This window comes from Homo sapiens, chromosome 16 (assembly GCF_000001405.40).
Source record: "Homo sapiens chromosome 16, GRCh38.p14 Primary Assembly".
NCBI classification, from domain to species: Eukaryota; Metazoa; Chordata; class Mammalia; order Primates; family Hominidae; genus Homo; species Homo sapiens.
The window spans coordinates 15597682-15613164 of NC_000016.10; the positions used below are offsets into that span (position 1 = coordinate 15597682).

At 46.8% G+C, this 15483-nt stretch overlaps 1 protein-coding gene and 1 non-coding gene across 32 annotated transcripts in view, besides 2 other annotated features; both read right to left on the reverse strand.

Annotated features, from left to right (window-relative positions):
* Window positions 1-15483, reverse strand: part of MARF1 (meiosis regulator and mRNA stability factor 1) — a 48768-nt gene that overhangs the window by 3295 nt on the left and 29990 nt on the right. For 30 of the 31 annotated variants that reach the window (XM_047434955.1, XM_047434954.1, XM_047434950.1 and 27 more), the window contains 10 exons: window positions 14876-15096; window positions 13911-14053; window positions 13294-13427; window positions 11842-12044; window positions 10610-10837; window positions 6487-6717; window positions 4310-4522; window positions 2960-3020; window positions 2747-2872; window positions 1173-1343 (listed from right to left, as the gene is read on the reverse strand). In XM_047434955.1, the coding sequence (XP_047290911.1) occupies window positions 1173-1343; window positions 2747-2872; window positions 2960-3020; window positions 4310-4522; window positions 6487-6717; window positions 10610-10837; window positions 11842-12044; window positions 13294-13427; window positions 13911-14053; window positions 14876-15096 (1731 nt within the window). Of the gene's footprint in view, window positions 1-1172; window positions 1344-2746; window positions 2873-2959; window positions 3021-4309; window positions 4523-6486; window positions 6718-10609; window positions 10838-11841; window positions 12045-13293; window positions 13428-13910; window positions 14054-14875; window positions 15097-15483 lie in introns of those variants that run through there. The other variant, XM_047434952.1, reaches the window with a different exon arrangement.
* Window positions 1544-2743: an enhancer, noted in NCBI's record as "CDK7 strongly-dependent group 2 enhancer chr16:15693082-15694281 (GRCh37/hg19 assembly coordinates)". NCBI's record gives its function as "activates an origin of replication core promoter dependent on BRD2, BRD4, P300/CBP, MED14 and CDK7 cofactors, with strong dependence on CDK7, by STARR-seq in HCT116 cells {active_cell/tissue: HCT116}" and the evidence as "EXISTENCE:reporter gene assay evidence [ECO:0000049][PMID:35650434]".
* Window positions 12791-13085: an enhancer, noted in NCBI's record as "tiled region #10508; HepG2 Activating DNase matched - State 5:Enh". NCBI's record gives its function as "activates a minimal TATA promoter and a strong SV40 promoter by Sharpr-MPRA in HepG2 cells {active_cell/tissue: HepG2}" and the evidence as "EXISTENCE:reporter gene assay evidence [ECO:0000049][PMID:27701403]".
* MIR6506 (microRNA 6506) lies at window positions 13349-13414 on the reverse strand. Its single transcript, NR_106761.1, has one exon. It is a non-coding gene; the product is annotated as a microRNA 6506 (primary transcript).

The following is a 15483-nucleotide window of genomic DNA, read 5'->3' on the forward strand; positions in this document are numbered from 1 at the left end:
CTGACCCTCAAGAGAAGAGCGGCTGACAGAACTGCCCACAGTGTTTTAATTATTTTCCTCTCTTGTCCGGTGCATGCAGTTGAACTTGCCCAGACTGAAGGCACAAAGGCCACAACCCCACAAACGAGCTAACATCAATGTGCCACCAACCCTAGGGGGGCACTGCACAGGAGCAGGGCATGGTCTAGGTCTGACTGCACAGGCTGGTTCTATCCGCAGGCAGTTACTTCCCCATCTCCTATTTTCCAAGTCAACAGCCTCAGTTCTTTTCCTGGGCAACAGTGCTGAACGCTGCCAAGAACAACCAAGATGGTAAAAGCCAAGCCAGGAGTCCACGGGTTGTTCCTGGTGACCTGGAAAGCAGCACCAGCAGTGGGGAGGAGTTGGGTTCCAACAGATGAAGAGCAGGGAGGGATCTGTACAGGGCAGATGGGCCATCCTCTCCAGAGGCCAGGAGACACCGCAGGACAAGAGGGCTTGGGTTCCAATGCCGGCTCTGCCCTTGCTAGCCCAGCAGCCCGGGGCCACTGCCTCTCTAGTGACGGCACCAGCTGTGCCTTAGTCACGCAGCCTGTGGAATAAAGCAGCTGCCTTTATTCCACGGCTCTCACCTGGAGCCGTGGTAAGAGTTAAATGTGATGGTGTCTGTCAGCCCTGAGCACAGGGTCAGTGCCAATGCCTGCACTAGGCTGGGACTCAGTGTGCTCAGCTTCCTGTCTGTTATATCACTGGGCAGAGTCCGGGGCTCCAGCCACAGACACCTCCCTCCATTCACCCCTTTATAAAGCCCTTGGGCCCTCTGGACCCCCACCATGGGTGACGTGTACATCTGGTGACAGGTGTGCCTGAGAGCAGCTGAACCTTCACAAAGTCTGGGAGAGCAGAAGCCCAGGAGGCCCCACCCACCCCTGTGGACTCGCCCACAGCCCCGAGCCACCAGCCCTCCAGAGCTGCCAAATCGCCCTTGCCTGATGCTCGCCAGGCAACCTCAGGCTGTGCATCCCATTCTGCAGGAACCCAGGTGGGGAAAGAAGGTCGAATAATCAGCACAGTGTTTTCCACCTGAAAAGGGGTAGTCCCTTCCCACCTCCGTCATTTACTATATCAGTATCTCATCGTGGTTTTGTTTTAAACCCCGAAGAAAATCCCCATGACAACATGGAGTCACCCACCAGAAGGCTCTTGAGGGCGCTCCTCAAACTGAATGAGATCAGCAGATTGGAGGATAACGGGGTCTGGTCTCAGCTGAGGGGACGGCAGGCACGAGGGGACAGGCGCACACAGGAGGTCGACGGGGGAGTCGTCGGTCAGGCGGAGAAGCTCCTGCTCTGTGTGACTGGGCCCTGGGCAAACAAGGAGGGCCGTGACACCACAGGACCTCCACGCCCACCCCCAGCACACACCCTGGGCTCACACCTGAAGTTTTCCTTCTAAGCCTTAAAGATAAGAGAGTCAAGAAGTATTTAAGGTATTAAAAAAAAAAAAAAAAAAAAACAAAAACCCAAAACCCACTAACAGGAAGATCCTGGTAATGGAACGCCTTAATAAGCTAGTTCTTCTGAAGATCCGTGTTCTTAGGAACACTGGCCCCTCAAAAGACCCAACCAGAGAAAAGGGTCCTGCAGTCAGCTTCCAAAGAGAAGGGACAGCCTGAGACGGGGTGTACGTAGTTAACAGCAAGTGGAAGCTCAGAATCCGAAGCCCTGGGCCTGGTTCCGTGGCTTCCTAGCTGCTGACTCTGGGTGAGCTGTAATACGTGACTGCCTGAGATTTCCGAGCCTCCGCTGCACAACGGAGGTCAGCACTGCTGAAGGCTGTGGGGCAGCTTCGGCAGATGATTCCCAGGAGGGCGCTTCATAAAACGTCAAATGCTGTGTAACTCAGTTATCCTAAGGGCACAGGGGACGGTAACGTGCTATCTCGCCGCATGTTATGAAGACAAAATTCTCACCTATAACGATGAATTCAAAAGTCCTTCAGAAAAGTTAGAACTGCTATAACATTCCAAGAATTGGCCTCTATCTACTACAGAGGTGGATCTATCTGAAATCTATGTGACTCAGTGTAATTTTGGGTAATATTAATGCATTAGTATATCAAATCCTGCCTAGGGCTGTCCTGTGACAAAGACGCCTTGACCAGCCATGAGTCAGGCACCCTGAGCCCTCTTCCGGATCAGGCCTGACCTTGGCCTTCCATGTCTGTTGCTGAACTTGCCGGCTCGCTCTAGAGTCTTAGCTTGAGTCAGTTTAGTGAGAATCCCCTCACCCTTCACAGCTGATCGAATTCCTTATTCCCAACCACTGATGTCTAGATCCTTGGCTGGCCTGCATGCCTATAGCAAGAATCCTCTTAGTAATTTTCCACCCACTGAGCCCTCACTCTGCTCCTAGGCTATGTATTGGGAGTTGGCTCTCTCTCCCCTGTTGCAAGTGTCATGAATATCCATTATAATAAGTGTCGGAATAATTTTTTTCTTCAACATCTGAACTGGGGTAAGATGATCATTATGGGGGTGCCAACATCCTTCAGGGACTTTAACCAGTCAACCATGCAATGCTAACAGATAAAGGTCAATTTTATCCTGTTACTAACTAAATACCAAAACTGCTTTGAAAAATGTGTGGCTATGTAACTTCAGCAGATTGGATGACTTGCTGGAGTCCTTTCCCTCGCTCTCCCCGACCCCAAAGCCGTTTCTCCTAGAATTTCACAAGCTCCTATGTCTCTGCTTTTCCTCTCTTACCACTGCCGTCAGCTCCAAGCTTGAGTTCCGAGGCTGTGTGCGATTCGGGCACCTCCAGGATGCGCTCGCCCTCCGAGGGCTGGTTTTCATGATTGGCAGGGGAGAGACTGAGTGAACTCAAACGACCTACAGGACAAAGAGCACCCGTCAGAGAGAAATGTCAGTGAGAGAACCGTGATTTTTTAAGGGGGGAGGGGATGGGTGCTTACTTACTTTTCATGTCATTTTTTAACACTACAATTCTCTTATGACCATGTCCTTTTATCCAGACCACCTGCACACAAGACATACTACTGGTTAAGCAGCGGAAAAGGAGGGGACAGAAGCCCTAACATTCAGGAAGAGTGTGACCTACGGAGCCTGCCTTAGGCTAGAATTTAGGAGCTGAGTTACTGCCAAGAAGCATGTTTCTCTACTCTCTCCTTAGCTTTTAAAGCAACAGAAGCTGACAGAAACATACCCCTATAAAAAGCAGAGTAGTTCAAAAATCATGAGACACAGTTTCAGAAATATCCTTTATAATTCTTAAAAAGACTGTCTTCCAAACACCAGCTTTGGCATATAAATTAAGGTAGTTCTCACATGAGAGCTCTTTGCCATTTTTTTGCAGAAACTGAACAACCACCTAAAAGAATTAAGAGCAATCTCTCAGACCCTTTAAACTAAGTTCATTATCAGCATCTTAAAGTCCTCTCCCTGATGGTGCCGCTCTCCATCTCAGCCAAGCAGAGTGGTAGTAGTGGAGCTAGGCTCCCAGGCCCCCTACATGTGCACACCGTCGCCAGGTCACTGATCTCAGCTCCCAGGCAAGCTTTGCCTGGGTCCTTCCTACTTCCTCTATTCTACTATTTTTACTCTGGCTCAATCCCTCCATCTAACACTGACCCAGACCTCTGCAGTGGCCAGGATCCTAGCCCAGTTCCCTTCTCCATGCCTGCTTCTCTCGGCTCTACCATGGACAGCACCACTGGGGTGCTTTTCAAATGCAAACCTGGGCTCCAGCTCTCTCCAACACAGTCCTCCCTCCTTACCTGGAGGAGCCACGCCCTCCCTAACCGAGCTCTCAGCTCCCTCTTAGCCTCTCGACACTCCATGCCACTTGTCACAACCCTGCATCTGCTCATGTCATCATCCCCTTTGCCCAGAATGCTCTCTCCCCTCCTTGTCACGTGCTTCCCTCAGGCACATCCTTGAAGGTTTTGCAACAGGCTCCCCAGGCTTGGGAAGTGGGCCCTGACACGGCCCTCCTCAGCGCGCCCACTGCCCTGACCGCCCTGACTAGTTGCCTGCTTGGGGGTCTTGACTCTCCCATTAACCAACACCTTTCTAGAGTTACAGCCTGAAACTTACTCACCTGGCATATAGGGATTTAATAAAGGTTTACAGAAAGAATCAAGGAGAAATGCTAAAATCATTTACTTTAGACCAACAGTATGTTTTGAAAGGATCAATTCAAAATGCCTGCCGTTCCATTATTCTGGCAGCATTTTATTTTTCTGTTCAGGACAGTTAGCCTGTGGCTGTTCAGAAGATGCTCTCCCGGAAGCTGAGAAAAATGCCCACCTGTGGAATTGCTCCCAAGAGCTCCTCCACGCTGCTGTGGCCGTAGGTCTTGGGCTGCAGAGTTTCTCCGACATACTTGGTATAGGCCATGGAAAACTCATGAAGGAAAATCTGCTGGTAGTGGTAAGTATGAAGTAAAGACCGCACATTCTTTGCAAACAAATACAGACTTGTGAGCTTCACACATTCTTCCATCTTATCATTAGTGAAAACCTGGTTAAAAAGAAAACGCAGCATTAGAAATATTAGTGACTGGCCCTGCCCCGTGGAAAGTGAAGGCCTCCCACTGAGGGAAAAGGCCCAGAGTTGAAGACGAAGACAAAGAAGAAAAAGAAGGCAACGAAGATGAGAAGATGAAGATGAAGAAGGAGACAAAGATGACGAAGAAGAAGGAGACGACAAAGATAAAGAAGACAACAACAAAGAAGATGAAGACAAAGACGACGAGACAAAAACGAAGATAAAGACGACAAAGATGAAGACAAAGAACAAGAAGACGAAGACAAGACGAAGACGACGATGAAGAAGACGAAGACGACGATAAAGAAGACGAAGACGACGAATTGGACAAAGACAAAGATGAAGAAGATGAAGATGACAAAAAAGACAAAGAAGAAGAAAGGAGGAGGAGGAAGGAAAGAAGGAAGAGGAGAAAGAAAAGGAGGAGGGATATATTCAAGGATTTCCTCCAAGAGAAGGCTATAGCCTCCAGCAAACTTCAGTTCTATTTGCAAGTCGAAGGCTGCAGCGGTCTGAAGAGACAGTGTGTGAGTAGGGAAGAAATCGGGGGAGGCAAACTGTGTTGGCAAATCACGGTACACACAGTGAACACTGGGGCCATTAAACTGCACCTCCAAACCAGTTTTCCAAGAAACACTGTGATAAGAGGATGACACTAGCATTCTTTAAAAACACATCAAAAGCAACAAGAAACAAACACAAAACCCTTGTGTATGCAGGGTAAGGAAGCAGATTTCTTTACCACAAACCTTTTCAAAGTGTTTAACATGCTATGGAATCGCCAAGAGAAAGGATATTCCCAATCTTAGCTGGACAGGGAAAGTCCTTTGTCCTGAAATATGCATTAACACCTGTCCAGAACTGGTGTTCTTAGGATAGATATTAACAGAGTTTAGAAAATGCTGGATGTATATCCTTTCATTATTTAATGATGTGTCCCACAGTTAGATGATAATGGCATATCATTCTTTTAAATTGCTGGAGCTCATTTGTTAATATCTTATTTAGGATCATTTTAAGGGACTATCTTATGTTTTTGGTATTAAATTTATTTTGGCTTCGTAAAAATAAATGGTAAGCTTTCCTTTTTTCTTTTTCAGCAGCCTAGAACAGTATTTTTTTTCTTGGGGATGGGTTCTTGCTATGTTGCCCAGGCTGGCCTCAAACTCCTGGGCTCAAGTGATTCTCTAGCCTCAGCCTTCTTAGTAGCTGGGATTATAGACGTGTACCACCTTGCCGGGCCCCAGAATGGTTTTTTAAAAGGTAGATTTATCTGTTCTTTTAGGGTTGGTTGAAATTCAATTGTTATCTCACTTGGTCCTGATGCCTTTTTCACTGGTATATTTCAGTGATCTTTTATAGTCTCTTTTATGGTAATTGGTCTAATTTTTAACTTCTTGAGTGAATTTTGGTAACTTATTTTTTCCAGGATTTCATTTATTTACTCTAGGTTTTTATATCTGTCGCCCGAGAATTGCATGCAGTATTCTCTTAAGATTCTCTCAATCTTGGAGCGCCATTCTTGAAAGGCTGCCTGGGGGACTGGCTGGCCAACCTTCCTTTCTGCCCTCACCTTACTCATCTCTCTCTTCAAGCCACCACATAAACCATCTCATTCAGAAAGATAAAACAGTAGCGAAATCCATCCTGGAATGGGACAAACACACCCCAGAGCCAGGATCAGGAGACCAGGCTTTCATCCTAGAACGGGACAAACACACCCCAGTGCCAGGATGAGGAGACCAGGCTTTCACTGGCTTCTGCCACCCATTTAGGCAGGGCTGCTTCACTGCCTGAGGTCTCGGCGTGTTCATCCATGAAATGGTCTCTCGGGTCCCTTCCAGCTCTACACACTCTAATCTAGACCATCAGGTAATCCGGAAATGCCCAATCGATAGTTTTCAATGATAGTTCTAAAGAGCCATTAACGTGCCTACCTCAACCAAGTATGGCAGGCTCTTCAGCAGTTCGGTCAAGGTCATGAATCCATATTCACAGGGGTTAAGGGGAGTGTTGTGGGTACTTTCGTAATGTCTCTTGAGCTCCTCAACAGAAAGATGGGTGGTTCCTTCCCAAGACATCAACAATACCAGCAACTGGGCAGTGAGAGATCGCAGAGACTTTCGGTTGATCAGCTGAATCTGTCTGCCAGATTCTATATCGGCAACCTGGGGAAAACGAGAATTCACACTTTTCAGAGCTCAAGAGAGACACCCTAGGTTATACCCAACTCAGCTCACTTCATTTTGGTTAATGAGACCAACAGATGAAAAATCTCTAATTTTTTTCTCTTACACTGAAATAAAGCAAGTGGGTTTGTTTTTAGCGTCTTTGGGACACCAGACCAACATGGAAGCAGAAACTGTCCTCCCCCTGCCGGTCCATAACTGAAAACTCTCAACAAGATAATAATGGGGGAGGAAATTGCATCATTCTCTTTATTTTTCATTCATTCTTTCCAAACCCCACTATAAGAAGGACACAGACTGGCCAGCTGATGGCCAGTGGTCCAAGCTTGTGAAGTGTGGGTTGCTGTGCTCGAAGGGGGGTAGGGATGGGGAGGCTAGACTCTAAGCAACACTCACATGGCTTCTGTGCAGACCCGACTTGCCCATATGCGTCCCCAGGGCGGGCTGGGGAGGTGAGAGAGGGCCTACTCTGATTACAAGGCAAGCTGCATTTTTCTAGTCTGCTATTACTCACCACAAAGCTGGTATTTTCATCTGACTAGTAACTGTCCACTCCTCAATTATTTCAGATTCTCAAGGAGATAAAGGGTTTAAGCGGTTAAATGCGCTGAGAGGGAAACCTTACAAAAAAGACAGAGATTGTCACTTGGGGACCAAACACCATGTGAAGAAACACGCATCTGGTGACTGAGCCAGCAGGCTGTGGGTGGCGAGGGTGAGGCTGTGGCGTGAGCCTTTCCTGGCACAAAAACAGGCAGAGCTTTGGCACACACACGGCTCCGGCACTGCTCTCACAAACCAATGCTCATCCTGACAGCTTGTTTGCCCCCTTTATCTGGTTTTCCTGCCAGGGCCAAAGGTCTTGGCAGGGCTAAGTCACCACAAGTTGGCACTCTTTGGACCGTGGATTCTGAGAGGCAGAGAGAGGTGGGTGGCACTTGAGGAGCCATCCCAAGACCAGGGCATCTTTATCTGGTTCTGACATGTGCCCAGAGCCAAGGCAGGAGGGAGGCTGGCAGGGTCCCACCCTACTTATCATGATTATGGGACTGTATAGATTTCCTCCTCAGAAGCGGGTTTAATCAACCAACCGATACAAGTCCAGGGGATCCCAGTCATCTTAGCCACCCAGACCCCCACCATCACTACAGCTGCTTAGGAAAGAAACCAAACCAGAGCCTGCTCCTCTGGTGCGACTTGGATCCATCCCTTGATTCTCAATCCCGGCTATGCATTAGAATTGCCTGGGGAGCTTTTAAAAACACCAATGCTCAGAGTGTGCTGGGACTAATTCTATAAGAATCTGAAAGGTAAGGTTGGAGAAGCTCCCAGGAGACCCAGTGGGCAGCCAGGGAGGCACCACGGAGCCTCTCTCAGCTCTCCCCATTCTTGCTGCTCACACCCCAGCTGCCCACCCATCACACTCACCCAGCAAAGCCCTAGGTCATGGCGTGGGGTCTTCCTATCCACCTGAGTCCACCCCTTTCATCATCCTGGGCAACTGAACACCCAGGGACCTGTCCCACACCACAGCCGTATAGCCTTTCAATGCCTTGCCTCTGTCATCTCCGACGACATCCTCCTGTGTTCAATTTCACTGCAGACACCCATCTCCAGGGTCACAGTGCAAACCTGTCATTACCCCATCCAACATAAATCATTCAAACCTCCTGAGCATCCCACTTGCAAAAGCAAGTCTGGAGCTGCTGTTGGGGTGGGAGTGCAGAAAGAGACTCTACCCGCTCAACTCCGCCCCTTCTCAAACCTCAGCAGCATCACTGCCTCCTATCTGCTCCCAATTTGCCAGCCCACTCCCTTGCTTCACTCTCCTCTTTTGTCATGCTGGCACTGACATTCTTGTCAATATTTAAATTCGCTCATCCCATGCCTTTTCCTGACGCCCATCGGTAAACTCCCACCTTGAATCCAACCACCTGCTTTCCCTGAACCGACACCTGCATAGCCACACCCCAACTGCTGCTCTCCCAGAGTCTACGGTGCCAACTTGCAGTGAGCTCTCGATACCCCTGCACTCCACGTGACATCCTGATCAAGCCACTCTCCACTCACCATGACAACTGTGGACCTTCTCCCCACTCCTAAGTCCTGAGCCCTGCCTCTCCTCTCTCTCTCTAAGCAGAGATCAGTCCCTCTCTCTAGTGGAAAACCACTCTTGGAAGAGGACTCCCTTCTATTCCTGATGATAAACATCAGACCTGCCCATGCCTGCCCCCAGCCTATTGCCCTGTATACTTCCTCCTTCCTCTGTGTGCTGTTTCCTAGTCTCCCACACCTCAAGGCCCTCCTGTCTTACCCCTTCTCGCCCTTGTATGTTCATCTTCTCTCTCTAGACAGATCCACATCAATGGCTTTCAGACATGCTCAAGTTTTTCCAGGTAGGAAAACCAACAGCCCAAATCCTCCCTTGCTCCCTCAGCCCCACAGCCTCTAGCTGCTGCCACAGCCCTCCATCTTCACAAGCAGACAAACCAGGATGCTGTCCAGATGACCTGGGCCATTTTCTCACCTCTCCTCACTCCTCACCACACTCCAAGGTGGCTTCTGTCTACACAACCAACACTGCCACTGACCTGGCCAGCAGCACCGACTCTTCCCACTGAGCTAAACCTGGAAGTCAGGCAGTCCCTCTCTGACCAGCCCTCCTGCGATGCTGCTGGCCATTCCTCTGCCTTGGCTCAGGGATGTTCGGCTCTCCTGGTTGTGCTTCCTGCTCTCTCACCTCCTCCTCCAACCAATCAGTACCTAAGGAGAGCTCTGAGCGTTCCTACCTCTGCCAAGGTAAGAACGTCTTCTTAGCTGCAGTCCAATACATTAAAAAACAGTGGGGGCTGGGTGCAGTGGCTCATGCCTGTAATCCCAGCACTCTGGGAGGCTGAGGTGGGCGGATTACCTGAGGCCAGGAGTTCGAGATCAGCCTGGCCAACACGGTGAAGCCCTGTCTCTACTAAAAATACAAAAACTAGCTGGGCGTAGTGGCGGGCGCCTGTAATCCCAGCTACCCAGGAGGCTGAGGAAGAAGAATCTCTTGAACCTGGGAGGCGGAGGTTGCAGTGAGCCAAGATCGCACCACTGCACTCTAGCCTGGGCCACAGAGCAAGACTCCAACTCCAAAAAAACCCCACAGTGGGAAGGAAAGGGAGAGTGAACCCGTTCTGGCTGTTTACGGAATTAAATGACACAGAAATGTGTGCAGCTAGTAATGGGCCTGTAACTGAGGGTGCCGTCCTTCATGCTTCCCTTTCCATTCCTTCCTCCTGGCAGTGACTTCTTCTGGTCCTGTGGGGGAGGAGGCCGAAAACTGGCAGCTGCTCTGCCTAGGACAGGAAGGGTCAAGTGCAGTCCAGGACAGCAAACAGCACGAGCTGCCCTCTCTACTACAGCTCTGCCAGTGACAAAGGCCACTCTGCACCCTCGCTTGCTCCTAAGCCTACTCCTAAGTGGGTGAGAATGTGGAGGGAGAGGACACTGTGTGATTACGGGCTCCCAAGAACGTCACAGGCAAAACTCACACTGGAAGGAGTCAAGCTCAGGCCAGCAGTGCTGAGGCAGCTGCACCTCATGACCGAACCCTGGGGTGAAGAGTGACCTCATCAGTTCACAAAGGCATTGCTTTGGCAAGGCCATTCAGAAACACACAAGAGGAAGACCAAAACTCTCAACTTCCAAACCAAGGCTTCTATTACCTAATAAGCACTAATGACACAAAACGAGTCATAATGCTGTGACAGTTAAGTAGTTCAAGGTGTAAATAAAGAAACGCTACAGCACACGCAAACGTCCTAATGAGAATTAGGTCACTGTGAGTTTTATCCCATGAGGGAAAAAAAAAAAAAAAAAAAAAAACATTTACCTTCACGACATGGCAGAGTTTCTGAGTTAAAGCCGAAATGGAACTGACATCATAGTCTTGGAGACGAAATGTATAACCAAAAGTTTTAGCATATTCTGTAAGGAGATCTGTCATCATAAGGCAGTTATCTTTTTGGGACCGAAGGAGTTTAACAAACTGGGCAGCTAGAGCTTTGAACCGCTCCACCTCTGTCAGAGTAAGGATCTTTTCTTCTCCACATTCCAATACCTTTGAAAACACACGGGGGGAGGAAAGGGAAAATAAACAAATCACGGGTGTTTACAGAATAGCAAAAAAAGTATGCAGCTAGTAATGAAAAAACAAGTCAGCGTTACTGAATGGGTATAAAGTTTCAGTTGTGTAAGATGAAAAAGTTCAGAAGATCGGTTGCATAACAATGTGAATGTGCTGACCACTACTGGACAGGAGATATAAAGATAGTTACGAAGGTAAGTTCTATGTTATGTGTATTGTGCCACAATAAAACAATTTTTAAAAAGCACTTCAGTAGTAAAAAAAGAAAATAAAATCAACAACAGAAATTTGGTTTAACTTAGCAACAGCGAACAGCTTAGCACTGATGTTACCTCATGTACTCAGACCTACCTTCAACACGAAGGATTTTAAAAGTATAAAAGTAATGAACAAATATTCAGTGTAAGAAATCAGCAGGTGTGGTGGCTCACGCCTGTAATCCCAGCACTCTGGGAGGCTGAGACAGGCGGATCAACTGAGGTCAGGAGCTCAAGACCAGCCTGGCCAACGTGGTGAAACACCATCTCTACTAAAAATAGAAAAATTAGCTGGGCATGGTGGCGGGCACCTGTAATCCCCAGCTACTCGGGAGGTTGAGGCAAGTGAACTGCTTGAACCCGCAGGCGGAGGTTGCAGTGAGCCAAGATTGCGCCATTGCACTCCAGCCTGGGCGACAAGAAAGAAACTCCGTCTCAAAAAACAAAAACAAACAAACAAAAAAAAGAAAACCTACTGAATCTTTTTTTCAATAATTACCCCCAAAACAAGTTTGAATAATCCTTTATTGAAGGAAAAAGCCATATTTATCTAAAAATACTAATGAGTCAGGAATATGGCTTCTCTGACTGGAATAGCTTAGATTTTCATCCTCTTTCGTAACTCCCTACTTCCCAGAAAAACAGGTCTGGAACGTGAAAAAGTATTTCCTATACGTTGTTCAGAAAAATACTTTATAAAATTAGAATTTCTTCACTCACTTGTAAAGTATCAGGTATGGCTTCAAAAAGTTCAAGTAGTTTGGTAAACCCATAGTACGCAAGTTTGCACTGCCGGCCAAAGTGGTGATGGTAAGAAGGGATAAATTTATTAAAGGGCATCCGGAAATGGGGTTGGTGACGCAGCAAATCAACGACATCCTTGGAGAACTGTTTTGTCCTTTCTATTTCATCCTGAGTGCGTTCTTTTAAAAAAACCAAAAAACATAAAATCACAGTTTTTTTCTACCCATTTGTGTTCAACATCCACACTAGAGTAAATCCTTTTGGGAATTTATAAACGATATCATCCTTGCCTTCCAAACACACACAACCTAAAACAAACACATATACTCTTCCCTCTTTGCAAGTGGTTCTCAAACATGTTCCAGGGCAGAACACCAGGAAGTTATGATATTATTATATTATGAAATTCATATATATTCATCTTATAAGCTAGAAACAATGTCATCTTATAAGCTAGAAACAATTTTCTAGCCCCTGCCCCATATCTATTAACATGACACACACCCAGGTCCCTGTACTTAAGCAAGTACTCTAGAAATTATTCCCATGAAATCACGCTTCTGAATATCCCCACTTTTTTTGTTTATTCATCTGATCTTCAGTTAAAACTTGCTAGCAGAAGAGAGAATCAGGCTTCAAAAGTTGAACAAAAATAAACAGGAGGGAAAGCTTAAGCTGAGATTGTTTCTATTAATTTTTAAGTGAGAATGGGCCCTGGAATTCTATGATTTCATGGACATCAATGTTCTGCAGGAGCACCGTTTAAGAACCAGATAATAGAAGGAGGATACGACCATACAGTCACCCCTTGGTGTTCTCAAGGGATCGGGTCCAGGACCCTGCCTGGATACCAAAATCCGCACCTACTCAAGTCTTGCGGTCTGCCCCGCGGAAACTGCAGACACGAAAAATTGGCCCCCAGTATCCATGAGTTTCGCATCCCTCAAATACTGTACTTTCTACCCGTAACTGGACCTGTGCAGTTCTGACTTCAACTATTAAAATTTGAAAGGCAAAAGAAAAAAAAACATTCGAGTTGTCTTCCCTTCTCAAGTGTGCACAGTAAATAAAGTAGCTCAGAGTTCAACAGAAGAGCAAAGCCAACAGGCACGGTGACAGATTCTCAACTGGATGACTAAGGCTCATGTAGCCACAGCCAGGCTGCAGAAGGCATTTGAGCAAAGTGCTGATGATGCCCCTTTTTCCCCTTAGAGTCAATTCTAAAAAGCCAGCCTGCTTTTGTTCTTGAGAACAGCTTCACCTACTTTGAAGAACACAGAATCCAAAGAGCAGCAGTTTTCACACTGTGCTTTCTGTGGAATCTTCAGGAAGCACGGACAGGGAGGGAAAACCACATCTTCCATGCCACACTATGTTAAAATAACAGGAGATAGACAATATCCTTCCAGCAAATGTTAAGTCACATACCTCTTTTGGGGATACAAATCACCATTTCATTATCTTGTTGGGACAAGCAGATGGTTGTGTCTGGAATCTCTGATACGATGTCAATCAACTCACAAACACCATATTCAGTGACATCCCAGTCCTTTGAGAAACACCTAGGTTTTAACAACGGAAGTGGATACGGAATGAGTAGTATCATCGGTAGAAGAACTACAAGTTTTCCGGCCGGGCGCTGGGGCTCACGCCTGTAATCCCAGCACTTTGGGAGGCCGAGGTGGACGGATCACGAGGTCAAGAGATCGCGACCATCCTGGCTAACATGGTGAAACCCCGTCTCTACTAAAAAATAGAAAAAATAAGCCGGGTGTGGTGGCGGGCGCCTGTAGTCCCAGCTACTCTGGAGGCTGAGGCAGGACAACGGCATAAACCCGGGAGGCGGAGCTTGCAGTGAGCCAAGATCGTGCCACTGGGCGACAGAGCGAGACTCCGTCTCAAAAAAAAAAAAAAAAAAACAAAAAACTACTACAAGTTTTCCAAAAGAATGCTTAATAGAAATACTAGATAACTATTTAGAGTTTGGCAGAAGATAAAATGTCCTAAAATATTTACTTTCATTTCTGTTCTTTTCATCAACTCACCAGTGATAAGCCTGTGAGAATTCTCTCACAATGACCTGTTTGCTGGCCTGGGATTTGAGAAGTTTTAGTAAATCCTGAGTAAAGCGCTTCACCTGGGCCCTGTGGGTAAGGGTCAGCAGACGTTTGGAGCCCATTCCAAGAATCTGCAAAGCAAATAGTTTATTTATACACATAAGACCTCAGCAGACAGCGACTTCCTTGCTGCTGGCTCACCCTCTCGTTACTAGCCTCAGAGCATGACTCCCTTTATGTAGAATGTGTGCAATTTGAAACACATGTCGATCAACAAAATGTAGTTGGTCAAAAGGAACAAATGTCCAAGGCCTTCTGAAACTCTTATCGTTTTTGGCCTGGCACACCTTCTCCCAAACAGTCGTTGAGTATAAAAATGAAAAGTGTAATCTTTTGAAAAGAAAAGTCGTGAGTACAGAAATGAAAACTGTATTGGTTGTCCAGACAAATTGGTCTACAAGTTTTTCAAGCCGTTTTTAGTGAGTGGGAAGCTGTTATAACACTGTGAGTTAACTGGTAAAAGTCTTCATAGGATCCAGTGCTACACTCTAGCCCAGTAACTTGTCTCCAACTAGTTAAATTTAGAAGAAAGGTTAAGCCCTTGACTCTCACATAGGCACCAACATACAAGTATGTGGCTATTCATGGGAGCTTCCTTGTAATCATGAACAGTTCTGGAGAAAGCTGTGCTGGGATGAAGAAGGTCTATAGAGCTTAGAGGGAAAATACTCCTCAGTCCTCCAAGGAGTTCCTCTAAAACTGGAAACTAGCAGCGTTCTGAAAAATTGAGAAGCCGCCTGTGTGTGTTATTCCTGCCCTCTGAAGAAAGTTTTTAGTGGATGTTCTGCCCAGAACTGACTTCTTAGGAATTAAACTGTTTCTTTGATGGAGGCAGCCAAAGCCATGGAGGAACATTCCTGCCTGTAAACAAGTAATCCCGTGACACGCCTTACCTGCAATACATGAGGCACTGCTTCTAATAACTCAATCAGCTTGGAGTATCCGTAGTCTGACACTCGGCACTGCTTTGCAAAATGATGGTGATAGGATGGGATGAAATGACTGATGGGTATGACACAAGATGGCTGGCTTTTCAGCAAGTCAATCACTTCTCTACTGAACTGGATCAGCTGGGGGTTACCTACAGGACTCTTCGAACGCAGAAGCCAAGGGTCTAGAAGAAAAAGAACGTGTATAAGACAGAAAGCACAGATTTCACCAGCTGAAAGAAGGGAAAATGGCCCTGCAGTCCCTGGCTTGAGTTCGATCATGGGGAAGCAAACAAAACCAAATACAGTAGCTGCTTTACGTCTCAGTTTCTATATTCAGGTCTCATAGTCCAATAACTAGCTAACTAACTTATTCACGGGCTGTCAAATGCTGTCCCACTAATCCTCAAAGTTAAGCGGCCAAGGTAAAGCAGAGTCTACTATAGTGTTATTTATAGCAGAAGTCAAAGTACACAAGAAGCTCCCAGTTTAGAAACTAGTTATATTTCCAAGATCCTTCTGAAACTTGGTCATGTGGAACGTACCTTTCCACAAAGTTATAAATGGTCATC